General features: G+C 54.1%; 2 protein-coding genes across 11 annotated transcripts in view, besides 26 other annotated features; one reads left to right on the forward strand and one right to left on the reverse strand.

Annotated features, from left to right (window-relative positions):
* AP3D1 (adaptor related protein complex 3 subunit delta 1) overlaps positions 1-20,058 on the reverse strand; it is a 63,629-nt gene extending 43,571 nt beyond the window's left edge. For 3 of the 5 annotated variants that reach the window (NM_003938.8, NM_001374799.1, NM_001261826.3), the window contains exon 1: positions 6,681-7,008. In NM_003938.8, coding sequence (NP_003929.4) covers positions 6,681-6,776 — 96 coding nt within the window. In that variant the 5' untranslated portion in view covers positions 6,777-7,008. Of the gene's footprint in view, positions 1-6,680; positions 7,009-19,797 lie in introns of those variants that run through there. The other 2 variants (XM_047439598.1, XM_047439597.1) reach the window with 1 other exon arrangement.
* Positions 361-984: an enhancer, noted in NCBI's record as "H3K4me1 hESC enhancer chr19:2144918-2145541 (GRCh37/hg19 assembly coordinates)". NCBI's record gives its function as "activates a minimal SCP1, AML or CMV promoter by ChIP-STARR-seq in primed H9 embryonic stem cells {active_cell/tissue: H9 hESC(primed)}" and the evidence as "EXISTENCE:reporter gene assay evidence [ECO:0000049][PMID:30033119]".
* Positions 985-1,607: an enhancer, noted in NCBI's record as "H3K4me1 hESC enhancer chr19:2145542-2146164 (GRCh37/hg19 assembly coordinates)". NCBI's record gives its function as "activates a minimal SCP1, AML or CMV promoter by ChIP-STARR-seq in naive H9 embryonic stem cells {active_cell/tissue: H9 hESC(naive)}" and the evidence as "EXISTENCE:reporter gene assay evidence [ECO:0000049][PMID:30033119]".
* Positions 3,973-4,022: an enhancer, noted in NCBI's record as "active region_13657". NCBI's record gives its function as "activates an Ori minimal core promoter by ATAC-STARR-seq in GM12878 lymphoblastoid cells {active_cell/tissue: GM12878}" and the evidence as "EXISTENCE:reporter gene assay evidence [ECO:0000049][PMID:35858748]".
* Positions 6,160-6,321: a silencer, noted in NCBI's record as "fragment chr19:2150717-2150878 (GRCh37/hg19 assembly coordinates)". NCBI's record gives its function as "represses an EF-1alpha promoter that drives an FKBP-Casp9 reporter gene in an ReSE screen in K562 erythroleukemia cells {active_cell/tissue: K562}" and the evidence as "EXISTENCE:reporter gene assay evidence [ECO:0000049][PMID:32094911]".
* Positions 6,940-6,989: an enhancer, noted in NCBI's record as "active region_13658". NCBI's record gives its function as "activates an Ori minimal core promoter by ATAC-STARR-seq in GM12878 lymphoblastoid cells {active_cell/tissue: GM12878}" and the evidence as "EXISTENCE:reporter gene assay evidence [ECO:0000049][PMID:35858748]".
* Positions 7,017-7,454: a silencer, noted in NCBI's record as "fragment chr19:2151574-2152011 (GRCh37/hg19 assembly coordinates)". NCBI's record gives its function as "represses an EF-1alpha promoter that drives an FKBP-Casp9 reporter gene in an ReSE screen in HepG2 liver carcinoma cells {active_cell/tissue: HepG2}" and the evidence as "EXISTENCE:reporter gene assay evidence [ECO:0000049][PMID:32094911]".
* Positions 7,040-7,209: a silencer, noted in NCBI's record as "silent region_9767". NCBI's record gives its function as "represses an Ori minimal core promoter by ATAC-STARR-seq in GM12878 lymphoblastoid cells {active_cell/tissue: GM12878}" and the evidence as "EXISTENCE:reporter gene assay evidence [ECO:0000049][PMID:35858748]".
* Positions 19,034-19,573: a silencer, noted in NCBI's record as "silent region_9768". NCBI's record gives its function as "represses an Ori minimal core promoter by ATAC-STARR-seq in GM12878 lymphoblastoid cells {active_cell/tissue: GM12878}" and the evidence as "EXISTENCE:reporter gene assay evidence [ECO:0000049][PMID:35858748]".
* DOT1L (DOT1 like histone lysine methyltransferase) overlaps positions 19,375-27,708 on the forward strand; it is a 68,646-nt gene continuing 60,312 nt past the window's right edge. For 4 of the 6 annotated variants that reach the window (NM_001411141.1, NM_032482.3, XM_011528359.3 and 1 more), the window contains exon 1: positions 19,375-19,707. In NM_001411141.1, the coding sequence (NP_001398070.1) occupies positions 19,627-19,707 (81 nt within the window). In that variant the 5' untranslated portion in view covers positions 19,375-19,626. Of the gene's footprint in view, positions 19,708-19,998; positions 20,190-27,708 lie in introns of those variants that run through there. The other 2 variants (XM_047439514.1, XM_047439513.1) reach the window with 1 other exon arrangement.
* Positions 19,664-19,733: a silencer, noted in NCBI's record as "silent region_9769". NCBI's record gives its function as "represses an Ori minimal core promoter by ATAC-STARR-seq in GM12878 lymphoblastoid cells {active_cell/tissue: GM12878}" and the evidence as "EXISTENCE:reporter gene assay evidence [ECO:0000049][PMID:35858748]".
* Positions 19,854-19,993: a silencer, noted in NCBI's record as "silent region_9770". NCBI's record gives its function as "represses an Ori minimal core promoter by ATAC-STARR-seq in GM12878 lymphoblastoid cells {active_cell/tissue: GM12878}" and the evidence as "EXISTENCE:reporter gene assay evidence [ECO:0000049][PMID:35858748]".
* Positions 20,488-20,707: a silencer, noted in NCBI's record as "silent region_9771". NCBI's record gives its function as "represses an Ori minimal core promoter by ATAC-STARR-seq in GM12878 lymphoblastoid cells {active_cell/tissue: GM12878}" and the evidence as "EXISTENCE:reporter gene assay evidence [ECO:0000049][PMID:35858748]".
* Positions 20,685-21,066: a silencer, noted in NCBI's record as "fragment chr19:2165242-2165623 (GRCh37/hg19 assembly coordinates)". NCBI's record gives its function as "represses an EF-1alpha promoter that drives an FKBP-Casp9 reporter gene in an ReSE screen in K562 erythroleukemia cells {active_cell/tissue: K562}" and the evidence as "EXISTENCE:reporter gene assay evidence [ECO:0000049][PMID:32094911]".
* Positions 20,828-20,937: a silencer, noted in NCBI's record as "silent region_9772". NCBI's record gives its function as "represses an Ori minimal core promoter by ATAC-STARR-seq in GM12878 lymphoblastoid cells {active_cell/tissue: GM12878}" and the evidence as "EXISTENCE:reporter gene assay evidence [ECO:0000049][PMID:35858748]".
* Positions 23,511-24,106: an enhancer, noted in NCBI's record as "H3K4me1 hESC enhancer chr19:2168068-2168663 (GRCh37/hg19 assembly coordinates)". NCBI's record gives its function as "activates a minimal SCP1, AML or CMV promoter by ChIP-STARR-seq in primed H9 embryonic stem cells {active_cell/tissue: H9 hESC(primed)}" and the evidence as "EXISTENCE:reporter gene assay evidence [ECO:0000049][PMID:30033119]".
* Positions 23,511-25,297: a biological region, named in NCBI's record as "CDK7 strongly-dependent group 2 enhancer GRCh37_chr19:2168563-2169762".
* Positions 23,768-23,907: an enhancer, noted in NCBI's record as "active region_13659". NCBI's record gives its function as "activates an Ori minimal core promoter by ATAC-STARR-seq in GM12878 lymphoblastoid cells {active_cell/tissue: GM12878}" and the evidence as "EXISTENCE:reporter gene assay evidence [ECO:0000049][PMID:35858748]".
* Positions 24,006-25,205: an enhancer, noted in NCBI's record as "CDK7 strongly-dependent group 2 enhancer chr19:2168563-2169762 (GRCh37/hg19 assembly coordinates)". NCBI's record gives its function as "activates an origin of replication core promoter dependent on BRD2, BRD4, P300/CBP, MED14 and CDK7 cofactors, with strong dependence on CDK7, by STARR-seq in HCT116 cells {active_cell/tissue: HCT116}" and the evidence as "EXISTENCE:reporter gene assay evidence [ECO:0000049][PMID:35650434]".
* Positions 24,158-24,337: an enhancer, noted in NCBI's record as "active region_13660". NCBI's record gives its function as "activates an Ori minimal core promoter by ATAC-STARR-seq in GM12878 lymphoblastoid cells {active_cell/tissue: GM12878}" and the evidence as "EXISTENCE:reporter gene assay evidence [ECO:0000049][PMID:35858748]".
* Positions 24,368-24,597: an enhancer, noted in NCBI's record as "active region_13661". NCBI's record gives its function as "activates an Ori minimal core promoter by ATAC-STARR-seq in GM12878 lymphoblastoid cells {active_cell/tissue: GM12878}" and the evidence as "EXISTENCE:reporter gene assay evidence [ECO:0000049][PMID:35858748]".
* Positions 24,472-24,766: an enhancer, noted in NCBI's record as "tiled region #14448; HepG2 Activating non-DNase unmatched - State 12:CtcfO". NCBI's record gives its function as "activates a minimal TATA promoter and a strong SV40 promoter by Sharpr-MPRA in HepG2 cells {active_cell/tissue: HepG2}" and the evidence as "EXISTENCE:reporter gene assay evidence [ECO:0000049][PMID:27701403]".
* Positions 24,539-24,779: a silencer, noted in NCBI's record as "fragment chr19:2169096-2169336 (GRCh37/hg19 assembly coordinates)". NCBI's record gives its function as "represses an EF-1alpha promoter that drives an FKBP-Casp9 reporter gene in an ReSE screen in K562 erythroleukemia cells {active_cell/tissue: K562}" and the evidence as "EXISTENCE:reporter gene assay evidence [ECO:0000049][PMID:32094911]".
* Positions 24,702-25,297: an enhancer, noted in NCBI's record as "H3K4me1 hESC enhancer chr19:2169259-2169854 (GRCh37/hg19 assembly coordinates)". NCBI's record gives its function as "activates a minimal SCP1, AML or CMV promoter by ChIP-STARR-seq in primed H9 embryonic stem cells {active_cell/tissue: H9 hESC(primed)}" and the evidence as "EXISTENCE:reporter gene assay evidence [ECO:0000049][PMID:30033119]".
* Positions 24,728-24,807: an enhancer, noted in NCBI's record as "active region_13662". NCBI's record gives its function as "activates an Ori minimal core promoter by ATAC-STARR-seq in GM12878 lymphoblastoid cells {active_cell/tissue: GM12878}" and the evidence as "EXISTENCE:reporter gene assay evidence [ECO:0000049][PMID:35858748]".
* Positions 26,488-27,082: an enhancer, noted in NCBI's record as "H3K27ac-H3K4me1 hESC enhancer chr19:2171045-2171639 (GRCh37/hg19 assembly coordinates)". NCBI's record gives its function as "activates a minimal SCP1, AML or CMV promoter by ChIP-STARR-seq in naive and primed H9 embryonic stem cells {active_cell/tissue: H9 hESC(naive and primed)}" and the evidence as "EXISTENCE:reporter gene assay evidence [ECO:0000049][PMID:30033119]".
* Positions 26,628-26,997: an enhancer, noted in NCBI's record as "active region_13663". NCBI's record gives its function as "activates an Ori minimal core promoter by ATAC-STARR-seq in GM12878 lymphoblastoid cells {active_cell/tissue: GM12878}" and the evidence as "EXISTENCE:reporter gene assay evidence [ECO:0000049][PMID:35858748]".
* Positions 27,083-27,677: an enhancer, noted in NCBI's record as "H3K4me1 hESC enhancer chr19:2171640-2172234 (GRCh37/hg19 assembly coordinates)". NCBI's record gives its function as "activates a minimal SCP1, AML or CMV promoter by ChIP-STARR-seq in naive and primed H9 embryonic stem cells {active_cell/tissue: H9 hESC(naive and primed)}" and the evidence as "EXISTENCE:reporter gene assay evidence [ECO:0000049][PMID:30033119]".

The raw sequence follows: 27,708 nt of genomic DNA on the forward strand, positions 1-27,708 counted from the left end.
GCGGCCCCTCAGCTCAGCCTGGATGTCTGTGGGGTGGCACGGTCACCATTAAAACCCTCTGAGTCAAGGCGGGGCACAATGGCTCACACCTGTAATCCCAGCACTTTGGGAGGCCGAGCAGATCACTTGAGGTCAGGGGTTTGAGACCAGCTTGGTCAACATGGTGAAACACCGTCTCCACTAAAAATACAAAAATTAGCTTGGTATGGTGGTGCATGCCTGTAATCCCAGCTACTCAGGAGGCTGAGGCAGGAGAATTGCTTGAACCTGGGAGGAAGAGGCTGCAGTGAGCCAAGATCGCACCACTGCACTCCAGCCTGGGCGACAGAGGGAGACTATGTCTCCAAAAACAAACAAACAAACAAACAAAACAAAAACGCTTCTGGCTCAAATCCACAGAGACAGCAGGTCAGTGGTCGCCAGGGCATAGGTTTCTCTGTTCTGAACGTATTGTGCTGAATCACTGCACGTTTGTAAATATACTGAAATCTACTTCATTTCATGCCTAGAACAGGCAGATTTTGTGGCATGTAAATTATATCTCAACTGTTCAAAGAAAGGAACCACCTTGGCTCAGCAGCATCACAGGACAGGACAAAACACCAGGAAGGACGTGAGGCTCCATCTGGACCGCAGCTCCCTGAGGGCTGGAGGCCTGGGCAGAGCAGAGGAGGGTCCTCAGGCCCCAGTCACAGATGAGCAGGAGCATTAGGGACCACTCAGCACAGAGTGGGCCACATGGTGGATGCCCAGCAGGCCACCCGGGGTCCCCACATCCCTCCGCCTGTCTCACTGCCACGTGGACAAATCAGCCACCAGCCAGTCCAAGAACTCCTAAGGCAGTGGTTCCCAGCAGGTGACTCTGCCCCTCCAGGGGACACTGGGCGATGTATGCAGCATCTGTGGTTGCCACGACTTGCAGATATCTAGGCATGGAGTGGGTGGAGGCCGGGTACGCTGCTCAGTGCCCTGCAGTGCCCCAACACCCCCACCCCAAGAACAATCCAGCCTGATGTCCACAGTGCCACGGCTGGGCCAGAGCACACCCAGGGCTGGCGTCGCCGCTCCTGCCCTCTGGTCTTCCTGGCTCTCCAAAGCTCAACGCAAGTGAGCATCACCCAGAAGCTGGTTACAAGGGCAGAACTCACCCCCACCCACATGCCCCTCCAGGACCCACATGCCTCGGCCTTGAAGCCACCTCCACACACACACACCAAGCCTTCTGCCCAGAGATTGCCTTTTGAAAACCCCTGCAAAGGAGTAAAATAGACAAAGAGGCCCAAGCCTCTTTGAAGAGAGAGCTTCAGGAAGAACGCAAGCGGCTAAACGCCTGTGAATGAGTGAACCGCACTCATAAGCAGGGCAGCTGACACTACAGCTGCACCCCCCAAACACCCCAGCCCTGCTGGTGGTGCGGGAGGCGAGGCTGCGGCTTTCATGCTTGCTGCTGGGAGAAGCTCTGTGGGGAGCGGGCGCTTTCCTGAGGGCCTCTACGGCTTGAGTCCATTCATAAAACGACCCCACATGGAAACCACCCACATGTCCGACTATGTATGGAAGCTGTGTGTAAACAACAGAGCACAGCCACCCACGTCAAGGACCGAGGACAGCTCCCTCCCCACCATGACGGCTGCAAAGCACACACACCTTAGGCAATCACGCCTATGGTTCAGGGACACAAATTTAAGTGATAAAACTACAAGCAAGTCAAGGAAATTAAACTTACAGAAGTCAGGATCATTACCATAATAATTAGCTGTACAGGCCGGGCACACTGGCTCACGCCTGCCATCCCAGCACTTTGGGAGGCCAAGGTGGGTGGGTTACTTGAGGTCAGGAGTTTGAGACCAGCCTGGCCGATACAGTGAAACCCCGTCTCTGCTAAAAATACAAAAATTAGCCAGGTGTGATGGCGGCCACCTGTAATCCCAGCTACTTCGGAGGCTGAGGCAGGAGAATCACTTGAACCCAGGAGGCAGAGGTTGCAGTGAGCCAAGATTGTGCCGCTGCATTCCAGCCTGGGTGACAGACGGAGCAAGACCCTGTCTCAAAAAAAAAAAAAAAAAAAAGCCGTACAATGTCCTATGCACTGCATATTTTGCAATCAAAGCAGCTCAGAGGGAAAACAAAGCACATTTAGAATCCACGCCCTCTGGTCCACCACCACCGTGACAGCACGGGGGACGAGGGCACCTGGACAACAGGGACGCATTCGGGAATTCTGGGAGACTTTTCTTACCATCAAGGGGGGTCAGGGGCTTTTAATTTGGGGTTGATTCTACCTCCAAGAGACATTCTGGTCTGGGCACACCTGTGGCTGGCATGACCAGAGGAGCCCCTGGCACGGAGTGGGTGGGGGCGGGGATGCTGCTCAGCACCCTGTAGTGCCCAGAATAGCTCTACCCAGAGAATGATCCAGCCCCAACATCCACAGTGGTGAGGGGCAGACGCTGATCTAGTGGAATGACTGACGTTATTAAAAGGAGAGAAAACCCGCTCAGTTCGGCTGGGCGTGGTGGCTCACGCCTGTCATCCCAGCTCTTTGGGAGGCCGAGGCTGGTGGATCACCTGAGGTCGGGAGTTCAAGACCAGCCTGACCAACATGGAGAAACCCCGTCTCTACTAAAAATACAAAAAATTAGCCGGGGTGGTGGCACATGCCTGTAATCCCAGCTACTAGGGAGGCTGAGGCAGGAGAATTGCTTGAACCTGGGAGGCGGAGGTTGCGGTGAGCCGAGATCGCGCCATTGCACTCCAGCCTGGGCAACAAGAGCAAAACTCTGTCTCAAAAAAAAAAAAAAAAAAAGAAAAGAAAACACACTCAGTTCAAATTTAATCTCTTTATATCTTTTCCTTTCTTTTTTTTTTTTTTTTAGTTGGAGTCCGCTGGGGAGGCTGAGGCAGGGAGAACTGCTTGAACCCAGGAGGCGGAACTTGCAGTGAGCCAAGATTGTGCCACTGCACTCCAGCCTGGGCAACACAGCGAGACTCTGACTTGGAAAAAAAACAAGAAGAAGAAAAAAAAAACAAAAAAGAAAAAAGAAAAAGAATATATGGGCTGGGCACAGTGGCTCACCCTGTAATCCCAGCACTTTGGGAGGCAAAGGTGGGCAGATCACGAGGTCAAGAGATTGAGACCATACTGGCCAACATGGGGAAACCCCATCTCTACTAAAAATACAAAAATTAGCTGGATGTGGTGGCACTCGCCTGTTGTCCCAGCTGCTTGGGAGGTTGAGTCACTTGAACCTGGGAGGTGGAGGTTGCAGTGAGCCGAGATCGTGCCACTGCACTCCAGCCTGGCGACAGAGCGAGACTTAGTCTCAAAAAAAAAAAGAAAAAAAGGCTGGGCACCGTGGCTCACACCTGTAATCCAGCACTTTGGGAGGCCGAGGCGGGAGGATCACGAGGACAGGAGATTGAGACCACGGTGAAAGCCCATCTCTACTAAAAATACAAAAAATTAGACGGGCGTGGTGGCGGGAGGCTGAGGCAGGAGAATGGCGTGAACCCGGGAGGCACAGCTTGCAGTGAGCCCAGATCGCACCACTGCACTGCAGCCTGGGGGACAGAGCAAGACTCCGTCTCAAAAAAAAAAAAAAAAAGAAAAAGAAAAAATGGAGAAAACTTTCCCAAAACTATGAAAAGGACTTGTGAGAACAAAATATTAAAAGTCGTTTGTTTTTTGTGCCAATTCTATCGAGCTTTAGAAGCTGAGGACACTCCCAAGTGGACCAAGACACATACACATGAGACCACTACTTCTCACGCTTTTTGGACTCATCTTAATAGGTTTTGCATGGGAACCCGATACGTTTACACGTACACACAAGTATCACATGCAGAAATCAAAGTTTCAGGACAGGACGGTTACTGTATGTGCCTGCACTCTGGTCTCTTCTAGTTTCTTTTCCTTTTTCTTACCTAGCATAACCATTAAATTGAATTCACAACCCACAAAGAGGTCACAGCCTGAGGACTGGAAAACAGTGAACTAGACAACCTCAGCGCTCTGGCGCTTCCAGAAAACCGCGTGTCACTGCAGCATCCTCCGCATCATCCAGCAAGGAGGGAGGTGACTGTCATCCCCATTTACAAGGGAGGAGACAGAGCAGGGGGCTCTAGATGGGCCGCCCCATGAAGTCAGCCAGTCAGCCCAAGCACCTGGACTCGGATCTCCCAAACCTCATGCGATTTCTACTCCATCGCACTGCCTTTCCACGTGGCTTTCAAAGTCATTGCTAAGCCTTGTTTCCATGATGCCACACTCAAGTTTTAGGTGAAAATCTATTACGAAATGGAAACTTTTTTTGGAAACTATACTGCTGCAGAAAATGCGCACACTGTCTAGAGTCTTTGTTCCGGGTGCAGTGGGCGGGAGGGAAGAACCTACAACATACGGTCTATAGGATAGCTGCTTTTTCAAAGTGAGTGGGGGTGCTGGAGGTACAACTAGAACTGTCATTGAACAGTCATTTGCTGCTCTCCAATCAGGAGACTCCAGCAGCTGCAGAGAACATCCAGAATCAGACATGAACACCTGAGTTACCACCCTCTGGACCATAACAATCGTCTTCCAGTGAGAAAGCCAGGGTCCCCAGACACTGCGTGTCCTGCCTGAAATCACCCACCCGCCAATGGCAGGGCCAATGAGGAAGCCTGGGACTTTCAAGGACAACCCTGCGCCGTTTTAAAAATGTTTCCCAGCCGGGTGCAGTGGCTCACGCCTGTAATTCTAACACTCTGGGAGGCTAAGGCGGGTGGATCACTGAGGTCAGGAGTTTGAGACCAGCCCGACCAACATGGTGAAACCCTGTCTCTACTAAAAATACAAAATTAGCTGGGTGTGGTGGTGCATGCCTGTAATCCCAGCTACTCAGGAGCTGGGGCAGGAGAATCGCTTGAACCTGGGAGGTGAAGGTTGTGGTGAGCCAAGATCATGCCTCTGCACTCCGGCCTGGGCAACAAGAGTGAAACTCCGTCTCAAAAAAAAAAAAAAAAAGTTTCCACCACCAAGACCCCCTTGAAGGGGCCCAGACTTGTGGGGAAGGCGCTATCAACTCACACCAATTCCAAAGGAAGAAAACCAGGCTCAGGGGCTTCCCAGTGAAGACAGGCACATCCCCCTGAAAACCATGCCCCAGACTAGAGGTGTGGTCCTCCACTGGACAGACCCCCTGGCCCATCGTCAGGGTCCCAGAACAGGCTGCTCAGTGACATGCGCTGAAGGGAGCAGGGACGGGCGCTGGGAGATCCTGCCTGTGCAGAAAAAGTCCTCTCGGGAAGTGAACCACATTTCCAATCTGAACCAAGCTCAGTAAAAACCAGGCCCATCAGCGATGCTTTCAACTCACAAAGAATCTGAACATTACTCCAGTTAGTTACACGTTGTAACCAAAGCAGTTAGGGAGAGCTTCTGAGATGAAGAAAACCAAGGAGGCCGAAGGGAAGTGGGGTGGAGAAGAACAAAAATGACCTCATTAAGGTGGGGGCAGGCGAAGCCACACCACTTCCAGGAAAGTGTAAAGGTGTAACAATACGGCAAGAGCTCGGGTTCCCAGAGAGAGGGACATGGGCTGAGGGACATGGTGCCAGGAAGCAAGTCCCTTAACTTCCCTGCCCTCCTGGGCACCTCGTCCTGGACACAGCCTCTGGTACTGGGACTGGTGCGGTATCAGACGGCGGCTCTCTTTCAGGCCTGCCTTGCTGTCCACGCAGGGAAGCAGGCAGGCAGTCGCTCAAGTAGGACACTTTCTAAGGCTCCCACTGCCCAAGGGCTGCACGGGTATCCTTAATGAAGCCAGACACGTGGTGGCCACTCTGCCCATTCTTCTTCAATCTAGGTCACAGGTTGGGGGAAGGGAGGAGCGGGAAGGAAACGATCCCCACGGTTGTAATTTTACTTCTGGAAAACTATTTCCTCGCCCTGGCTTTCAGGTTCCTACTTGAAGTCAGCTTCCCCATTCCAGCTTCCCGCAAGCTGCTACCTCACTGGGGATCAGGATGCCGCTGTCCTTCCTCCCTCCTGGCAGCAGCCCCACCTTCCTGGGAACGGGGGCACTGGAGGCAACGCCCCAAGACCCTGCCTGGTTCCGAGCCAGGCCTCAGGGAGCGACCTGGACACGCATTTACACGACCCAGAAGGAAGAAGGAGTTTCTCCAGGGACGGCCCAGGACCCCCTGCCTCGGTCTCCCGGGGAGGGTCCGGGGGCGGGGCCCGGGCCCCTGCATTTTTAATCGGTGATTCGGAAACACACTCAGGTTGAAGAAGCTCTGCCCAGAGACCTCGCAAGTCTCCTGGGAGGGTGGCCCGAGACGGGGGCAGGTGGGCCCGAATCTCCCTCTGAGAGAGTAAACTGAGGGTCCAGGGGGAGGGCACCTATAGGCGGGGCCCAGGGCATTGCATTTTGAACAGCGCTTCCCCCAGGTGATCCGATGAGGCGAGGATCCGAGATGTGCTGCTCCAAGGCCTTCGCCCCTCGTGGGGAAACTGATGCTGGGGGACCGAGGAGGTGGGCGGCGCCCCAGGCCCAGGCCAGGCAGGGCCGGAGCCCTAAGCGGGACCTCCAACTAAGACAGAGCCCGGGCGGGCGGCAGGCCGAGCAGGCCCAGTGAGCAGGGCTGGGCCCTGGGCCGGGGCTGTGACCAGGCCGAGCAGCCCCTTGGCGCGCCGGGCTCACCTCGTCCTCCTTGTGGTTACGGATGCCGCGGACCAAGTCCTGCAGATTCTTGTCGAACATGCGGTCGATGCTGCCCTTCACCATCTTGAGGGCCATCGCGGCGGCCCACGGGCTTTTGCCTCGGGAGGCCCGCGGCTGGGCGCCGTGAGGGGGCCCGGGGCCCGTGCCTGCCGCCCGCGGAGCGCCGCGCTGCCGGCCGCTGCGGCGGGGCAAGCTCCCAGGCCAGGGCGGCGGCGGGGTCCAAGGACCGCGGCAGAGGCGGCGACCCGCTCGGCAGGTGCCGCGATCCCGCTCCGGGCCCCTTGCAAATGGCGGACAAGATGGCGGCGGGTCAGCTGACGACGAGCGCCCGGTCCCAGCCGAGCCGGCCCCGGAAGCCCCGCCTCCCAGAAAGCCCCGCCCCGCCACCTCCCCGGCAGGGAGACGCTGCGTTTCCCTGACGACGACAGGTAGTCCAATGGAAATGTGGCACCTCTTTCTCCTGCGCGCGGCCCCGCCTTTTCCGGCCCCAAAACTTGCGCTCTCATTGGTCAGTGGCCTCCGGAACTCCGCCTTCTTCCTAGTTCTGAGCCCTAGCCACGCCCCTTAGAGGCTGGTCCTGACCCTCCCACCAGCTGACAGGTGTGAGCGTGGCTGGATGTGGGCGGGGCGCCCACGTGGAGCTTAGCCGGCAAGTTCCCGAGGAAGACTGGAGCTCCGCCTTTCCTGAATGTAATAGCTGACGCGGCCTGAGAGCCTCCAAACCCAACTCCTGGGTGGGTGGGGGAACGGATCCTGTGGTTCCCGCAGCCTCACAACATCCTGTGAAATGGGCAAGACAGACATTAACATGCCCACAGGAAGAAAATGAGGCCAGAGACAGGACTACGACATTGTCATTCATTCAGTAAACATTTGTCGAAGGCCCATTGTGTGCCAGGCATGGTAAGGGGTGCTGGGCATGCAGCGGTAAATGAGATATACTGAGTCCCTGCCTTCCGAGATACATCATTGAGATTGTAAAAAAAAGCTCTGGAAACTTGGCCAGCCGTGGTGGCTCACGCCTGTAATCCCAGCACTTTGAGAGGCCGTAAGCGGGAAGATCACTTGAGGTCAGGAGTTCGAAACCAGCCAGGCCAACATGGTGAAACCCTGTCTCTACTAAAAATACAAAAACTAGCTGGGTGTGATGGTGGGCACCTGTAATCCCAGCTATTCGGGAGGGTGAGTCAGGAGAATCCCTTGAAACCAGAAGGCAGAGGTTGCAGTGAGCCGAGATGGCGCCACTGCACTCCAGCCTGGCAACAGAGCAAGACTCCGTCTAAAAAAAAAAGAGAGGGAGAAAGAAAGTAATCGCAATAAAAACTGGGGTAAGATGGGCCAGGCGCGGTGGCTCACACCTGTAATCCCAGCACTTTGGGAGGCCGAGGCAGGTGGATCATGAGGTCAGGAGTTCGAGACTAGCCTGGCCAATATGGTGAAACCCCATCTCTACTAAAAATACAAAAATTAGCCGGGCGTGGTGGCATGCACCTGTAATCCCAGCTACTTGGGAGGCTGAGGCAGAAGAATCTCTTGAACCCAGGAGGCAGAGGTTGCAGTGAGCCGAGATCGCGCCACTGCACTGTACTCTGGGCAACAGAGCGAGACTCTTGTCTCAAAAAAACAAAACAAACCAAAAAAACTGGGGTAAGATATTTACAATACATATATCTGACAAATGACTTATATCCTGGTGGGGCAGGATGGCTGACACCTGTAAAATCCCAGAGTTTAGGAAGAATTGCTTGAGCCCAGGAGATAAAGGACAGCTAGAGCAATATAGTCAGACACCCATCTTAAAAAAAAAAAAAAAAAAAGGCAGGGGGAGGGGAGGATGGGCGCAGTGGTTCAAACCAGTAATTCCAGCACTTCGGGAGGCCTAAAGGGACAGATCACATGAGGTCAGGAGTTCGAGACCAGCCTGGCCAACATGATGAAAGCCCATCTCTACTAAAAATTAAAAAATTAGCCAGACGTGGTGGAGGGCACCTGTAATTCCAGCCACTTGGGAGACTGAGGCAGGAGAATGACATGAGTCCAGGAGGCAGAGGTTGCAGTGAGCTGAGATTGCGCCACTGCACTCTAGGCTGGGCAAAAGAGCGAAACATGGTCTCAAAAAAGAAGTGGGGGGGGGGACCGGGCACAGCGGTTCACGCCTATAACCCCAGCACTTCGGGAGGCCGAGGAGGACAGATCACTTGAGGTCAGGAGTTTGAGACCAGCGTGGCCAACATGGTGAAATTCCACCTCTACTAAAAATACAAAAATTAGTCAGGCATGGTTGTGGGCACCTGTAATCCCAGCTATTGGGGAGGCTGAGGCAGGAGAATGGCTCCGCCCAGGGGGCGGAGGTTGCAGTGAGCTGAGATTGCCCCATTACACTCAAGCCTGGGAGACAGAGCAAGATTCCGTCTCAAAAAAAAAAAAAAAAGGAGGGGAACTGCTGGGCATGGTGGCTCCATATCTTTGGAGGATGTATTCATGCATTTCTATCGGGAACAGTAGAGGAATCGCTGGGTAATAGAATATGTGTGCGTTAGCATTGCAAGCTAGTGCTAAACAGTTTCCGGGCGTCCTTGTGATTTCTTTCCCCTCGCCCGAGATAGAGTCTTGCTCTGTAGCCCAGGCTGGAATGCAGTGGCGCGATCTCCGCTCACTGCGGCCTCTGCCACTGTGCCCAGCCTGAATTTTTTTTTTTTTTTTTTTGAGACAGAGTCTCGCTCTGTTGCCCAGGCTGGAATGCAGTGGTGCGATCTCAGCTCACTGCAACCTCTGCCTCCTGGGTTCAAGCAATTCTCCTGCCTCAGCCTCCCGAGTAGCTGGGATTACAGCTGCCCACCACCACCTCCAGCTAATTTTTGTATTTTTAGTAGAGACTGGGTTTCACCATGTTGGCCAGGCTGGCCTCAAACTACTGACCTCAGGTGATCCGCCTTCCTTGGCCTCCCCAAAGTGCTGGAATTACAGGTGTGAGCCACTGCACCAGCCTCAGAAATATTTATTTATTTATTTATGGTTTTTTTTTTCTTTTTTTTTTTTTGAGACAGTCTCATTCTGTCACCAGGGCTGGAGTGCAGTGGCTCAATCTTGGCTCACTGCAACCTCCACCTCCCTAGTTCAAGCGATTCTCCTGCCTCAGCTTCCTGAATAGCTGGGACTACAGGCGCTCGCCACCACGCCCAGCTAATTTTTGTATTTTAGTAGAGACAGGGTTTCACCATGTTGGCCAGGATGGTCTCGATCTCTTGACCTCGTGATCTGCCTGCTTCAGCCTCCCAAAGTGCTGGGAATACAGTCGTGAGCCACCACGCCCCATCCTATTTATAGGTTCTTTAGTCCTCAGGCGAAGCCCTAGGGAAACAGAATTTCTCTCTCCACTTTCTGTCCCTTTTCACTGCCCAAGGCAGGACTCTAATCTGATTGGGAGCCCAAACACCTCATTCCAGAGAAGGTCATGCCCCATACCCTGGAGGAAGAAAAGCTACAGAGAGACCAAGACAAATCTGGACAGACAGGCCCTGCCTGGCTCCCCAGTCAGTCTATTCATATGAGATCATACTAATTTTTGGCCCAATTACGTTTCTTTATGATTGTGAGTCATGTCTGTTTAATGAAGCTGCCATTAAAACCCAAAAGGAGGCCAGGCGGGGCGGCCAGTGCCTGCATTCCCAGCACTTCCGGAGGCTGAGGTGGGTGGATCACCTGAGGTCAGGAGTTGGAGACCATCCTGGCGAACATGGTGAAACCCTGACTCTATTAAAAGTACAAAAATTAGCCGGGCGTGGTGGCGAGCACCTGTAATCCCAGCTACTTCCGGAGGCTGAGGCAGGAGAATTGCTTGAACCCAGGAGGTGGAGGTTGCAGTGAGCCGAGATCGCGCCATTGCACTCCAGCCTGGGTGACAAGAGCAAAACTCTCTCAAATAAATGAAAATAAAAATAAAAAAACAAAATTAGCCAGGCGTGGTTGCCATACCTGTAGTCCCATCTACTCAGGGAGGCTGAGGCAGGAGAATAGCTTGAACCCAGGAGGCAGAGGTTGCAGTGAGTGGAGATTGCGCCACTGCACTCCAGCCTGGGCGACAGAGTGAGACTCCATCTCAAAAAAAAAACCAAAAAAAACAAAAAATTAGCTGGGTGTGTCACACACCTGTAATCCCAGCTACTCAGAAGGCTGAGGCAGGAGAATCACTTGTATCCAGGAGGTGGAGGTTGCAGTGAGCCGAAATTGTGCCCCTGCACTCCAGCCTGGGTGACAGCGAGACTCTGTCTCAAAAAAAAAAAAAAAAAAAAAAAAATTAAGTACCCATCATACTCCCTGCCCGCTTCTCTGCTGGACTTTTCCCCTATTTTCCAACACACTGTGTTTTCTACCTAGCATTTTGTTTATTATTGGTCTCCACCTCCTCCTCCCACCTGAACACAAATTCTATGATATTGGGACTTTGTCCTTTTGTTTTCTGTATGGGTGGACATTTAAAAAATGTTTAACTTGATGAAAAAGGAAGAATGGGCCGGGCGCGGTGGCTCACGGCTGACATGCCAGCACTCTGGGAGGCCGAGGTGGGCGGATCAGGAGGTCAGGAGATTGAGACCATCCTGGCTAACACGGTGAAACACCATCTCTACTAAAAATACAAAAAAATTAGCCCGGCTTGGTGGCGGGCGCCTGTAGTCCCAGCTACTCGGGAGGCTGAGGCAGGAGAATGGCGTGTACCCGGGAGGCGGAGCTTGCAGTGAGCCACGATTGCGCCACTGCACTCCAGCCTGGACGACAGAGCGAGACTCCGTCTCAAAAAAAAAAAAAAAGAAAAAAGAAAAAGGAAGAATGGTTTTGACAAGAGTGCTGATTCTTCCATCACTGGGAGTTGGTGGGCTGGCTGCAACCTCCAGGGTGACCAGCAGAGAGCAGTGCTAGCCAGGCTCAAAGTAGGGGCAGCTTCTCTCTGGAAAGATCCTGGCCTGGAGCCCTGAGCTCTGGCAGGAGATGGGGACATTTGTCATCAGTCCTAGCTCCAGCCCGAATCAGTTACCTTGTCCCCAAATTATCCATCCTTTCATCCATCCTTCCACCTCCCCATCCACCCAGCCACATATCAAATCATCCATTCATACATACATACATCTACCCACCCATCATCCATCCATCCACCAATCCACTCATGCATCCATTCACCCACTCTTCCATCTATCCATCCACCTACCTATCCATTCACCCATCCACCGATCCACTCACCCACTAACCCATCCATCCACCCACCCACCCATCCATCCACCCACCAATCAACAACGTTTATTGAAAAAAAACAGGGCAGGGCGCGGTGGCTCACGCCTGTAATCCCAGCCCTTTGGGAGGTTGAGGCGGGTGGATCATGGGGTCAGGAGATCGAGACCATCCTGGCTAACACAGTGAAACCCCGTCTCTACTAAAAATACAAAAATTAGCCAGGCTTGGTGGCGGGTGCCTGTAATCCCAGTTACTCGGGAGGCTGAGGCAGGAGAATCGCTTGAACCTGGCAGTTGGAGGTTGCAGTGAGCCAAGATTGCACCACTGCACTCCAGCCTGATGACAGAGCGAGACTCTGTCTCAAAAAACTAAATAAATAAAACAAAACTAAACAAAAAACAAACAGCCACCCACCCATCCACCCACCCACCTATCCACCCACCCATCTATCCATTCACCCATCCACGAATCCATCCATTTATCCATCCATCTACCCATCCACCCATCAACAAGGTTTGTTGAAAAAAACAAACATACACCCATCTATCATTCATCCATCCACCCATCTGTCATCCATCCATCCACCCATCCATCTATCGATCTATCCACCCATCATCCATCCATCCATCCATCCACCCACCCATCCACAACGTTTCTTGAAAAAAACAAACATCTGGCCGGGTGCGGTGGCTCACGCCTGTAATCCCAGCACTTTGGGAGGCCGAGGCGGGCGGATCACGAGGTCAGGAGATCGAGACCATCCCGGCTAAAACGGTGAAACCCCGTCTCTACTAAAAATACAAAAAATTAGCCGGGCGTAGTGGCGGGCGCCTGTAGTCCCAGCTACTTGGGAGGCTGAGGCAGGAGAATGGCGTGAACCCGGGAGGCAGAGCTTGCAGTGAGCCGAGATTGCGCCACTGCACTCCAGCCTGGGCGACAGAGCGAGACTCCGTCTCAAAAAAAAAAAAAAAAAAAGAAAAAAACAAACATCTACCCCACCTATCCAGCCAACCATCCACCTATCCACCCATACAGTAACCCATCCATCCATCCATCCATCCATCCATCCATCTACCCATCTACCCATCCACCCATCCACCCACCGACTCATCCATCCACCCACCCACTAACCCATCCACCCACCCACCCATCCACCCATCAACGTTAGTTGAAAAAAACAAACATCCACCCACCCATCCATCCCCATCCACCCATCCACCCACCCATCAACCAACCCACCCATCCACCCATCCATCCATTCAACAACATACTGAGTATCTACTGTATGCCACTTTGGCAAGGAGCAGGAATGGAGAACAAAGCTGTAGGCAGCAGCAGGATTGGGGAAAAGTGATCCAGGCAGATGTCAGGACAAATGGAAGAGCTTGCTCAAGTTTGTCATGTGGAGGAGCAGAGAGGAGACTGGCAAGGATAGTGGTGATGGAGGAAATTGAGCTTGATGGGTTGATAAAGGACACATTAGACATCATTCTACAGAAGCATTCATTTAGCAACTATGTTGTACCCCACATGTGCTCTTTTTTTTTCTTCCCTCCACGGCTCAGCAGAATTTTGTTTGTTTGTTTTTGAGACAGAGTCTTGCTCTGTCGCCCAGGCTGCAGTGCAGTGGTGCGATCTCGGCTCACTGCAAGCTCCACCTCCTGGGTTCACGCCATTCTCCTGCCTCAGCCTTTCCAGTAGCTGGGACTACAGGCACCCGCCACCACGCCCGGCTAATTTTTTCGTATTTTTAGTAGAGACGGGGTTTCACCACATTAGCCAGGATGGTCTCGATCTCCTGACCTTGTGATCCGCCCACCTCGGCCTCCCAAAGTGCTGGGATTACAGGCATGAGCCAACGTGCTCGACCTGTTTTTTTTTTTTTTTTAGAGATAGGGTCTTGCTCTGTTCCCTGGGTTGTAGTGGAGTGGCACCATCTGAGCTCACTGCAGCCTCAACTCCTGGGCTCAAGCAGGGGCCCAGCTACTTTTTGTGTATTTTTTGTAGATAATGGGTCTCACTATATTGCCCAGGCTGATCTAGAACTCCTGGCCTCAAGTTGTCCTCCCACCTTGGCCTCCCAAAGTGCTAGGATTACAAGCCTGAGCCACCGATCCCAGCTCTTTTTTTTTTTTTTGAGATGGAGATTCGCTCTTGTCACCCAGGCTGGAGTGCAACGGCGCAATCCGCTTACTGCAACCTCCGCCTCCCAGGTTCAAACGATTCTCTTGCCTCAGCTTCCCTAGGAGCCACCACCACACCCAGCATGAACCATAATTTCTAATCTCCTTGCTAATCTGTTAGTCCTGCAAAGGCAGTCTAGTCCCCAGGCAAGAAAGGAGTTTGTTTGGGGAAAGCTGTTACCGTCTTTGTTTCAAAGTTAAACTATAAACTAAGTTACTCCCAAAATTAGTTTGGCCTGAGCCCAGGAATGAACAAGGACAGCTTGGAGGTTAGAAGCAAAATGGAGTCGTCTAGGTCAGATCTCTTTCACTGTCAACATTTTCTGTTATAATTTTTTTTTTTAATGGAGTCTAGATCTGTCACCAGGCTAGAGTGCAGTGGTGTGATCTTGGCTCACTGCAACCTCCGACTCCGGGCTCAAGTGATTCTCCTGCCTCAGCCTCCCGAGTAGCTGGGATTACAGGCACACACCACCAGGCCAGGCTAATTTTTTTATTTTTAGTAGAGACGGGGTTTCACCATGTTGGCCACGATGGTTTCCATCTCTCTCTCTTTTTTTTTTTTTTTGAGACGGAGTCTCCCTCTGTCACCCAGGCTGGAGTGCAATGGCGCGATCTCAGCTCACTACAACCTCCGCCTCCCAGGTTCAAGCGATTCTCCTGCCTCAGCCTCCCGAGCAGCCGGGATTACAGGCATGCGCCACCATGCCTAGCTAATTTTTTTTGTTTTTTTTTTTTGAGACGGAGTCTCGCTCTGTGGCCCAGGCTGGAGTGCGGTGGCGCGATCTCAGCTCACCGCAAGCTCCGCCTCCCGGGTTCAAGCGATTCTCCCGCCTCGGCCTCCCGAGTAGCTGGGACTACAGGTGCCCGCCACAGCTCCCGGCTAATTTTTTGTATTTTTAGTAGAGACGGGGTTTCACCATGTTAGCCAGGATGGTCTCGATCTCCTGACCTCATGATCCACCCACCTCGGCCTTCCAAAGTGCTGGGATTATAGGTGTGAGCCACCGTGCCCGGCCGCCTAGCTAATTTTTGTATTTTTTTTTTTTTGAGACGGAGTCTTGTTCTGTCTCCCAGGCTGGAGTGCAGTGGCGCTATCTTGGTTCACTGCAAGCTCCACCTCCCAGGTTCATGCCATTCTCTTGCCTCAGCCTCCAGAGTAGCTGGGACTATGAGTAGCTGGGTCTACAGGCGCCTGCCAACATGCCCGGCTAATTTTTTGTATTTTTAGTAGAGACGGGGTTTCACCACGTTAGCCAGAATGGTCTCGATCTCCTGACCCCGTGATCTGCCCGCCTCAGCCTCCCAAAGTGCTGGGATTGCAGGCATTAGCCACTGCGCCTGGCCATTTTGTATTTTTTTAGTAGAGACGGGGTTTCACCATGTTGGTCAGGCTGGTATTGAACTCCTGACCTCATGATCTGCCCGCCTCAGCCTCCCAAAGTGCTGGAATTACAGGCGTGAGCCACCGTGCCCAGCCTTCTAATTTTTGCAAAGGCAGTTTCAAACCTGTAACAGGAACTATGGGAATGACCAGAGGAAATGGCTCAGGAAAGAGATGTACAAAAGTGGGAGGAGGCCAGGTGTGGTGGCTCAAGCCTGTAATCCCAGCACCTTGGGAGACCAAAGCAGGGTGGATAGCCTGAGGTCAGGAGTTCGAGACCAGCCTAGCCAACATGGTGAAACCCCATCTCTACTAAAAATACAAAAATCAGCCGGGAGTGGTGGCGCATGCCTGTAATCCCCGCTACTCGGGAGGCTGAGGCAGGAGAATCGAATCGCTTGAAACCAGGAGGCGGGGGTTGCAGTAAGCCAAGATCACACCATTGCACTTTAGCCTAATGACAGAGCTAGACTCCTCCGTCTCAAAAAAAAAAAAGTGGGCGGAGATACAGGTTGCCACACCTGGAGTCCAGTCCATCCTCCACCAGCTCCCAGTAGCCTATGGGAGGGGCACAGGCATTGGTCCATTCATCCCCAAAGTGTGTCTTAGCCCGGATAACCTGTACTCAGTGATCCTGAGGATATAGATAGAGTGCCTGCCTACACAGGATTCTGGAGAAATCAACTGTTCAGAATAATGTTAGACCAGGATCTCTCCCCTGGAGAACCACGGACATCAGGGCCAGATTGTTCTCTGGGGTGGGCTATCCTGGGCACTGCAGGGTGGTAAGCAGCGTCCGTGGCCTCCACCCACTCCATGCCAGGAGCTTCCTTGCACCTTAGCTGTGACAATCACAAATGTTCCCAGACATCGCCCAGTGTTTCCTGGGTGCAGAATCACCCCTGGTTGAGACCGCCTGGGTAAGGGATTCCAAGAGCCCCCAAGAGACTGCATCCCATGATCCACCACCCTGCTGAGGTCCCAGGAGGCTGCCCACATTGAAATCCACACCCTGAGTGGGTAGGGAGAGAGAGGAGGTGAGTCCTAGGACCCCCAGGGTCCTCCTGGTTTACACTGTCTGGCCCATCAGGAGCTTCTCCTAGTTTTTTTTTTTTTTTTTTTTTTTGAGACAGAGTCTTGCTCTTGTTGCTCAGGCTGGAGTGCAGTGGCACAATCTCTGCTCACTGCCACCTCCGCCTCCCAGGTTCAAGCCATTCTGTTGCCTCAGCCTCCCGAGTAGCTGGGATTACAGGTGCCTGCCACCATGCCTGGCTAATTTTTGCACTTTTAGTAGAGACGGGGTTTCACCATGTTGGCCAGGCTGGTCTCGAACTCCTGACCTCAGGTGATCCGCCCCCCTCAGCCTCCCAAAGTGCTGGGATTACAGGCGTGAGTCACCGCTCCTGGCTGTCTGGGCCTGATAATTAAAAATGACTTGCATTCCTTAGATAAAAGTTCTTTTTTTTTCCACAAGGAAAATAATGTCAAGGTCAAAATAAGTATGTAGAGATGAATCTCTAAAGTTAATGTTTTATTTGGCAAGAAAGAATTGGAATTTGAGGCATACATGCAGACCAAAGAGGAGTCTGGGGTTTTATAGAAAAAGAGGAGTGTGGCTGGGCATGATGGTTTATGCCTGTAATCCCAGCACTTAGGAAGGCTGAGGTGGGAATATAACTTGAGATCAAGAGTTCGAGACCAGCCTGGCCAACATGGCGAGACCCTATCTCTACTAAAAATACAAAAATTAGCTGGGCACAATAGTGGGCACTTAGAATCCCAGCTACTTGGGAGGCTGAGGCGGGAGAATCGCTGGAACCTAGGAGGCGCTGGTTGTAGTGACTGGAGATCCCAGTCACTACTCCAGCCTAGGCGAGAGTAAGACTATGTCAATAAATAAATAAATAAATAAATAAAAAGACCAGCCTGGGTTACATAGCAGGACCGCATCTTTCCAACAACAAAGAAAAAGCCCATTGAGTTTTTTTTTTTTTTTTTTTTGAGACACAGTCTCACTCTGTCGCCCAGGCTGGAGTGCAGTGGCACGATCTCGGGTCACTGCAGCCTCTGCCTCCCGGACTCAAGTGATTTCTCCTGCCTCAGCCTCATGAGTAGCTGGGACTACAGGCACGAGTCACCACGCCCGGCTAATTTTTTGTATTTTTAGTAGAGACGGGGTTTCACCATGTTAGCCAGGATGGTCTCGATCTCCTGACCTCGTGATCCACCCGCCTCGGCCTCCCAAAGTGTTGGGATTACAAGCGTGAGCCACCGCACCCGGCCCCTGTTGAGATCTTGATCAACACTAAAGGGGCCGGGTGCGGTGGCTGATGCCTATAAATCTCCGAATTTCGAATTTCGGGAGGCTGAGGAGGGCGGATCACTTGAGTTTGAGATTAGGAGTTAGAGACCAGCCTGGCCAACATGGCGGAAATGCATCTCTACTAAAACTACAAAAATTAACCGGGCGTGGTGACTCGTGCCTGTAGTCCCAGCTACTCGGGAGGCTGAGGCAGGAGAAATCTCTTGAGCCTGGGAGGCAGAGGATGCAGTGACCCGAGATCGTGCCACTGCACTCCAGCCTGGGCGACAGAGCGAGACTGTGTGTCAAAAAACAAACCCCCCCACTCAAAAAAAAAACCCCAAAAAACAGTACAAGGCACTTGTACTTGACACTGAAAGGCTTTAATCACCAGGGGCTGTGGCAGTGACTGCGGGACTCTATTGCTGAGAGGAGGAAAGCATCGGAGGTCAAGTGACTCTCCCAACGTCACCCAGCAGGGAAGGGGTGGGGCAGGGCTGGAATCTGGCTGGGCAGGGAGGGTGTTGGTGTCCCCCGGGGACTTGGGGAGGTGCTGGTGGTGAAACCGCCTTTGCAAAATTATGACTGAGACAGTTAAAGAGATCTAACTTCACCGACTCCCTCTTCCTTCTAACCTCCAAGCTGTCCTTGTTCATCCCTGGGCATAGGCTGAACTAACTTTGGGAGAAACTTATAGTTTAATTAAATTAATTAATTAATTAATTAATTATTTTTTTGAGACGGAGTCTTGCTCTGTTGCCCAGGCCGGAGTGCAGTGGTGCAATATCGGCTCACTGCAACCTCTGCCTCCTGGGTTCAAGCGATTCTCCTACCTCAGCCCCCGCAGTAGCTGGGATTACAGGCGCCCGCCACCGCGCCCAGCTAATTTTTGTATTTTTAATAGAGACAGGGTTTCACCATGTTGGCCAGGCTGATCTCGAACTCCTGACCTCAGGTGATCTTCCCGCCTCGGCCTCACAAAGTGCTGGGATTACAGGCATGAGCCAGGGCTCCTGGCCGTGAGAGGGGGTTTCTCCATGTTGGTCAGGCTGGTCTCGAACTCCTGACCTCAGGTGATCTGCCCGCCTTGGCCTCCCAAAGTGCTGGGATTACAGGGGTGAATCACCGCGCCTGGCCTTTTTTTTTTTTTTTGTACCCAATAAACAGCATTGTTGTCGAATGAATACTGGACTTGGAGCTACAGCAAGTCCTGGACCGTGACTCTTATGGGGGGAAATTCGGATTTTTGGTTTTACTAAGCCGTGTGTGGGGAGGTGTCCGGCGTCCTCCTCCTGGGACGGGATTCGAACCCGCTATCCGACGGGCCCGCCCACAGGGTCTCCCCGGGTCCCCGCTTCGGGCCGGCGAGTGGGGGAAGGGGTCGGCCGAGGGCAACCGAGGACGTGCGTGCGTACGTTCGTGCGTGCGTGGATTCGGGCGGGCGGGCGAGTCCACGGGGCGGGGCGCCGAGGGGGTGGCGCGCGCGGGTCGGCCCGCTGGGCGGCGGGCACGCGCCGGCGTCTTCGCTCCGGGCTCCCCTAGCGCGCGGGGCGAGTGGTTCCGCCCGGCCCCCGGCTCATTGTGCTCGCTTCACGCCGGCCCAAGATGGCGGAGGCGCTGGAGGCCCCGGGCCTGTGACTACAAAGAGGGAGTCGGGGGCCGGGCCGGACCGGAGCGCGGCGGCGGCGGCGGCGGCGGCCGAGGCCGAGGCCAGGCCCCCTCCCCTCAGCCTCCCGCCCCTCCCTCCCGCCCGCCCTCCTCCGCCCACCGGCGGCCCCGCCCCTCCCCCAACCGCCCGCCTAGCATGGTGCGGCGGCCGCGCGCGCGGACATGGGGGAGAAGCTGGAGCTGAGACTGAAGTCGCCCGTGGGGGCTGAGCCCGCCGTCTACCCGTGGCCGCTGCCGGTCTACGTGAGTGCCGCCCTCCACCGTCCCTACCTCCCGGCCTCCCCTCCTCCGCCGCCCCTGGGGACACCCCAAACCCCCCCAAGCCGCGCTCACCGGTCCCCCCTGCGGAACGGAGACCCTGGACTCCACTGTCGCTGCTCCACCCCCGTTGCTTCCCGGCCGAGGGCCCCGCGGCTGTTTCCCGCAGGGTGGGAGCCCCGCGCGCCTGGGGTGGGAGCGGGAGCCGGCGCCCCCGAGCCCTACCGCGGTGCCGTTGCCCCCGCCGGGCTGTCCCGGGCGCGGAACGGAAGGGGTAACTCGTGCCGGCCGCGTTTTGACTGGAAGCCCGCCCGCCCGCCCCGCTCGTTCCCGGCGCTGTCAGTGTGTCCGCCGCCTTATTTTTCTTTTTGAGGGCATCCTTTCCTGTCTCCTCTTCTCTTCTTTTTAAAAATTGGGCGTTTGTCACGCTTTTCCTACTCGGGCACGGCGGGCCCGACCCTGCGAAGGTGGGAGTTAACGTCCCCTTGAGTGGGCGGGAGCGGTCTGACCTTTGGAAATGGGGAATTTTTGTCCCCGTAATTTTGAGTGGGTATGGGCTGCCCTGGCCCTGGGAAATTAGGCATCTTTGACCTGTTAATCCTAGTTGGTTGGGGACAGGCTTTATTTATCCTTGGAAATTGGGACTTCTCCCCGATCTTGAGTGGGCAGGATTGGGCTCACCCCCGGAGTTAGTAAATTTTGTCTTCTTCATCTTGGTGACCGTTGGAAAATGACAGGCCGGGTGGAATGTTACAGAGGCACCCCACCGGGTGGTTCCAGAAACCCGCGTGCGGCTCCCGGGGTGCGAGTCCCGGCGTGGCCCCTGAGGAGGCGGGGCGCGTGCGTCCGCGCTTGGGACCCTCTGGCCACGCTCCGGGCTGGGCAGGGCGCGTTTTCGGGGAAAAGTGAAGCAGGCGCTGTCAGCGAGCGTGTCCGGGGCGCGAGTTTTGGGGGGCGCGTCTGCAGGGCCCGGCCGGGCATCCCCGCGCGCCCTGGGACTCCCGCGCGCGCTGGGCTTGTGTCAGTTTTTGGAAACGTGCTCGCTGGGGGCGGGGTCAGGACGCGGAGAGCGCTGGGGAGCCCGGGCTGGCTCACTGCCCCGGGTCGGTGCGAGTGGATGGGAGAGGGAGCGCAGCTTCCAGCCTGGCCGCACGTCCCGCGCGCGGGGCTGGCGGGGTAGGGCCCTGGGGCTCTGGCTTCTCTGGTTGGGCAGCTCCGGGTGTGCGCCTGGGCGGCCTGAGCCGGGATCCCGCCAGGAGAGGTCCTAGGACAAAAACTGAAAGCAGAGGCCGCGCTTCAGCGCCCCGACCGGTTTCCTCCCTCGAAAGTTCAAACTCCAGAACCCTTCCAGCCTCCACTTCTCTCTGTTGGGCTCTCATCGTTTTAGGTGGTAGAAGGCATATGACCATAAGAGTTCTAACTGTAACTGACTGAAGATCAATTGAGGTGGCTTACCACCGTCCGACCAGCCCCAGTACATGGCTTCACATTTTTTTTTTTTTTTTTGAGACGGAGTCTCGATCTGTCGCCAAAGCTGGAGTGCAGCGGCGCGATCTCGGCTCGCTGCAAGCTCCGCCTCCCGGGTTCACGCCATTCTCCTGCCTCAGCCTCCCCAGTAGCTAGGACTATAGGCGCCCGCCACCACGCCCGGCTAATGTTTTTTGTGTTTTTAGTAGAGACGGGGTTTCACCGTGTTAGCCAGGATGGTCTCGATCTCCTGACTTCGTGATCCACCCACCTCGGCCTCCCAAAGTGCTGGGATTACAGGTGTGAGCCACCGCGCCCGGCCCACATTTATATGTTATGTTATGTTATGTTATGTTGTTATTTTTGGAGTCGGAGTTTCGCTCTTGTTGCCCAGGCTGGAGTGCAATGGTGCGATCTCGGCTCACTGAAACCTCAGCCTCCCGGGTTCAAGCGATTCTCCTGCCTCGGCCTCCCTGGTAGGTGGGATTACAGGCATGCGCCACCACACCCTGCTAATTTTGTATTTTTAGTAGAGACGGGGTTTCTCCATGTTCATCAGGCTGCTCTTGAACTCCTGACCTCTGGTGATCCGCCTGCCTCGGCCTCCCAAAGTGCTGGGATTACAGGCACGAGCCACCTCGCCTGGCCTCACATTTATTTATTTATATTTATTTATTTTTTGAGAGGAAGTGTTGCTTTTGTTGCCCAGACTGGAGTGCAGTGGTGCCATCTCTGCTCACTGCATCGTCTGCCTCCCGGGTTCAAGCGATTCTCCTGCCTCAGCCTCCTGAGTAGCTGGGATTACTGGCATGAGCCACCACGTCCGGCTAATTTTGTATTTTTAGTAGATACCAGGTTTCTTCATGTTGGCTAGGCTGGTCTCGAACTCCTAACCTCAGGTGATCCGCCTGCCTTGGCTTCCCAAAGTGCCGGGATTACAGGGGTGAGCCACCGCACCTGGCCTCACATTTATTCGTATATCTTCCTCTTTCAGTTCACCTAGGGCGTAGTTCGCTGGTTGCAGGGTACAGTTCTATACGTTTTGACAAACTCATTGGGTGGTGCCCTGACCAGTGCTGCCGTCCAGGTGCAGAACCCCCAGCTTCCCTGCGGCGCCCCCATCCTCAGCTTGCCTGGGAGCTCCTGGCTGCTCCCCACCTGGCCTTACCTGTAGTTCTGCCATTCTCAGAAAGTTGGCTGAATGGAATCAACAGCATGTTGCCCTTTGGTCCTGGTGGCTTTCAGGCGGCCAAATCCGTGTTGCTGCAGGTTTCAAAAGTTACCCCATTTTTTTGCTGACTGTAAATCCATTGGACAGTTGGGCCACAGATTGTTGACGTGTTTGCCTGTGGGTCACAGGACTGTGGGCTGTTTCCAATTTTTGGTGATTAGAATAAACCCGCACTAAACACCACTGGCGGGATTTTTGGTGAAAGTCAGTGTTCGCGTGGCGAGGTTCTCAGGGGTGGACCGCACGGCCTGTGCTAAGCGTCTGTTTAACATCTGCATCCCAACAGTTGCCACTTGTCAGTGCTAAGAAACCCACTGGAACCCAGCGTCGGGGCCTGGGGTAGTGGTCTTGCCAGGGACCCTTTGCCTTTTCCTTGGTACTGAAGTGAACATTCACGTGAAGGCAGCCCTGGTGTCCCCGCCCGCATGCCTGCTGCCCTGCCTGGCCAGTGCTCCATTGTAAATAGTAAGGGCGAGAGCTGGCGGGAGCGGGCTTTCTAGTGGTGGGCGGGACTGTGCCGTGTCTTTCCCTCCCTGGCCAGGCCCTGGCTTGGCAGGGTGTGCTGGTCCTGGCGCCGTCTACGGCCTCTTCCTGCTCTGGTTGGCCCACTGCCGGGCCCAGCATCTTCATTCGCCCAAGTGCCAGAGGCAGCCTTCTGACAACCTCGCCGTGACATTTGTCATTTTCTGTGTTCCCGTTGAGGAATTTTGCTTTCTCACAAGAAGTGAGGGGTGGTTCTGATTTTCTTTTCTTTTCTTTTTTTTTTTTTTTTTTTGAGACAGAGTCTTGCTCTATCGCCCAGGCTGGAGTGCAGTGGCACAATCTCCACTCACTGCAAGCTCCGCCTCCCAGGTTTCAGTGATTCTCCTGCCTCAGCCTCCCCAGTAGCTGGGATTACAGACCTGTGCCACCATGCCTGGCTTATTTTGTATTTTTAGTAGAGACAGGGTTTCACCATATTGGCCAGGCTGGTCTCAAACTCCTGACCTCAGGTGATCCGTCCACCTCGGCCTCCCAGAGTGCTGGGATGACAGGCGTGAACCACCGTGCCCAGACGCAGCTGCAGCAGCACATTTATTCATGATTCATTCCAACAGCAGCTACTGAATACTCAGTGTTGTGGGGGCACAGAGGACAACAAGCCAATATTCTCCCCCCGCCACCGCCCCAGCATTCTTAGTCTCAAGAAACCTGTCAAATGAAGACAGGCCGGGCACAGGGGCTCATGCCTGTAGTCCCTGCACTTTGGGAAGCCCAGGCGGGAGGATTGCTTGAGCCCAGGAGTTTGAGACAAGCCAGGGCAACATAGGGAGACTCCATCTCTACCAAAAAATTTAAAACAGTGAAGTTAAGTAGATTATAAATAGAAGTTCAGCAGAGATACTGTGCTGAGTACAAGGTCAGCTGAGGTCCCCAGGGAGGGGCTGCCACTTCTGCCCTGGGGGACCTGTGGGTGGCTGCTTGGAGGAGGGGCCATCCGGAGGAGGAAGCAGAAATAGCCACAACTGTCCACGCTCGGAAATGAGCAGTTCGGAAGGGGTTTGCCCAATTGGCAAACGCAAGGGGGAGGAAGGGAGATTTTTATTCTTACATGACCTGGGAGTTCCTGGATAACCGCTTTTCTCAAGCCCCGCATGGCATTTCTTATTTTTTTGAGAGGGAATCTCGTACTGTTGCCTGGGCTGGAGTACAACGGTGTGATCTCGGTTCACTGCAACATCTGCCTCCTGGGTTCAAGTGATTCTCCTGTCTCAGCCTCCCCAGTAGGTGGGACTACAGGCACCCGCCACCACGCCCAGCTAATTTTTTGTATTTTTAGTAGCGACAGGTTTTCACTATGTTGGCCAGGCTGGTCTCGAACTCCTGACCTTGTCATCTACCTGCCTGGGCCTCCCAGAGTGCTAGGATTACAGGCATGAGCCACCGTGCCTGGCCCTGCGTGGTATTTCTAGGGCAGGATGGCCCTGCCCTTCTTCTAGTGGGAAGGGCACAAGTGGCATTATTGGTTGTTTGCTCGGAAAGAACCTTCAAAGGCCACAGAACGGGACCTTCCCCCTGGTGACTCACAGGCTGTGGGCGGGCAGGGGCGGCCTCCACTGGCCAAGGGTCCGGACTCTCTGACTCTCATTAATGAGTGAGTACATGTTCCGCCTGACAGCCTGGCCTGGAGCCCGGCTGTGGGCGGCGGTGAGTGGGCAGCCAGCAGTGAGTAGCAGCCGGGGCGGGGTGAGCTGTCCCCACCGTGACTCAGAAGGTATTTTCTGCTGCTGACCTCTGAGCTTGAGTGTCCTGAGTAATCCCAGCTCCCCCGGAGGCAGATTAACCTTTAGGCAGCTTTGTGTGAGTAAAGGAGTCGCTTTAAATAGGAAGGAATAATAGAAAAAACCCAAGTGTTCCGTTTTATAGCAAATGCACACTGCTTTGTTCCTGCTGGCCTGAAAGAGGTTGCAGGGGGTACTGGGGCGGGGAATTGTCCAGAAACTCTGCAGATGATACAGGGACACTCCAGCCTAGCCTCTGAGGAGAGTTTTTTTTGAGACGGACTCGCTCTGTCTCCCAGGCTGGAGTGCAGTGGCCCAATCTCGGCTCACTGCAGCCTCCGCCTCCTGGGTTCAAGTGATTCTCCTGCCTCAGCCTCCCGAGTAGCTGGGATTACAGGTGTGAGCCACCACGCCCAGCTCTTTTTTTCCTTTAAAAATCTGCTTGTTATCTGCTGCTCATCAGAGTGTATATTTGGGGTAATTCGAGCCTGTGCTCCCAGGTTGCAGTCCTCAAATGTGGCCCAAATAAATGCTCCACTTATATTAATTTTGCTCCAGTTCCTTTCCTTTAGCTCGACAGTGTGAATCTACAATTATCTTAAAATAAAAAGTTTAATTAAAAAAAACACACGGTTGCCCAGGCACGGTGGCTCATGCCTGTAATCCCGGCACTTTGGGAGGCCAAGGCGGGCAGATCACCTGCGGTCAGGAGTTCGAGACCAGCTTGGCCAACATGACGAAACCCCGTATTTACCAAAAATACAAAAATTAGCTGGGCGTGGTGGCGGTTGCCTATAATCCGGAGAATTGCTTGAACCCGAGAGGGGGAGGCTGCAGTGAGCTGAGATCATGCCATTACACTCCAGACTGGTCGACAGAGTGAGACTCTGTCTCAAACAAACAGACAAAATTAGATAAAGGAAAAAAGAATTTTTGTTCAAGTAATATTGGCCATTGATGGCTGCAAATCACTCTTGGTGTTACAGATTCCAGGAACAGGAAGATAGTGTCCGAGACCAGGATGCAGGAACAGATAGATGCCTTTCCACGCTTGCCCCTGGTGTGGTTGGGAGGCGTGACTGAAATCCTTGCTCTTGTCTCTCTGGACCTGATGCATTTTGCATGCCTCACTGGGCACGGACTGCTTGGAGCTGTTTTTATCTTCCAGCAGTGTGAGGTGTAGGAAGGACCCAACACGGTTCCTCCTGTGCTCTCCGCAGTCAACACAGAGGAGTTGCGGAACCAGATACGGGTACCCGGGGATTCATCAGTTCTGTGTTTCCTACTGGGCAGCCCCGATTCAACTCACTTCCAGCATGTCTACCTCGACACAGGCTCAGATCCCACGGGGTAAGGGCTCAGTCCCCAAGACTCCCCCACTTTCCATGCCAGTTAGAGGCCTCACGTTGTGACCTGTGCTTCTGAGTGACCGGTCGGCTGTAAATCCAGGTTCCCGTCACCCTTACCTCGGCTTGATTACATTGCCTCAGTGGCTCACAGAACTCCCGAGAAACACTTAGGTCCTTTGGTTAATGATAAAGGACGATCTGTGGGATGCCCATGAATACTGAGAAATGGATCCTCAGGGCAAGGCATGGGGGAAGGGCCCACTCCCTCCAGGAGTCTCCCGGAACGTGTGTCTCCCGGGACCTGTCCCCCTCCAGGAGTCTCCTGGAACCTGTCCCCCTCCAAGAGTCTCCCAGAACCTGTCCTTTAGAGTGTTGTTTCTCTCATTATTTTTGGGATAGGGTCTTGCTTTGTCACCCAGGCTGGAGTGCAGTGGCTCGATATCTGCTGACTGCATTCTCCGCCTCCCAGGCTGAAAGGATTCTCTTCCTTCAGCCTCCTGAGTAGCTGGGATTACAGGCATGAGCCACCACGCCTGGCTAAATTTTGTATTTTTTGGTGGGGCCTTGCTGTGTTGCCCCAGGCTAGTGGTAACTTTGATAAGCTTTGGGCCTCAGCCTCAGGCTGTGTGGTGGGGTCTAAGGTACAGCAGGGGCCCCAGAGGAGTCCTCCAGGGGAAGGACTGCGAGAATGCTGTGGCACTGGCAGAGCCTTTTACCTGGAGGATCCCTGCATTGAGCCCTTCTGGTCCCGAATTGTACTGAGCCCTCTTCTTCCTGCCTGTAGGCTGAAAGAATGAATTCCTGGCCCTGGAAGGTTCAAACAGCAGTTCTCAGGGGTGGAGGTGGCTCTGCCCCCAGGGGACACCTGGTGGCGTCTAGAGACCTTTGCGGTTGTCACCACCGGGGTGGGGGAAGCCCAAGGATGCTGCTCATCACTCACAGAGCTTGGGGCAGCCCCACCACCGAGGGCGGGCCAGGAGACGCCAAGAGCTGTGCCTTTCATCGCCTGGGGTCCCGGGCACCGACCGCCGCCGGGTGTCGCTCCGTGTTCGTGTACATGCCTTCTCCTGGGGGTAGCCCTGCTTTTATTTCCTGAGTGCTTCCTGGGACCATGCATGTCCGGCAGGCCCTGGCCAAGATCCAGGCTTGCTGCGTGCAGTCCCCGCCCACTGTGTCCCCCTGAGGGAAGGACCTGAGGTGAAGTTAGCGTAATGGGAGTGTATTTGGGCCTCGTTTGCGGGCTGCAGCTCTGGAGACACAGATTCAAGTGCCCAGAATGTATGCGCGGCAGTTACAAGTGGGGCTTCCTGGAGAAAAGAAGGGGCGGCTTTTGCATTGGAATCACAGAAGTGATTGCCCGGCTCCACGTCCTTCCTGGTATCTCAGACTCCAGGGACGTGAAGATAACAGATGGTCACATTGTGCAAATAGTGATAACCTTGTAGGTAATTCATCAGCTAGTGTGGAAACCCCAGGGGAGGAAAGAAGGCCCTGGGAGGGAGTGACTGAAACTCACTTGGAGGCTCTCTGGGCCTGTGGAGTTCTGCACAGCATGCAGCTCCCACTCCTCGGACGCACTTTTCTTTTTTGTTTTCTTTTCTTTCCTTTTTTTTTTTTTTGAGACGGAGTCTCGCTCTGTGGCCCAGGCTGGAGTGCAGTGGCGCGATCTCTGCTCACT

The sequence above is a fragment of the Homo sapiens genome, chromosome 19 (genome assembly GCF_000001405.40).
Source record: "Homo sapiens chromosome 19, GRCh38.p14 Primary Assembly".
NCBI lineage: Eukaryota > Metazoa > Chordata > Mammalia > Primates > Hominidae > Homo > Homo sapiens.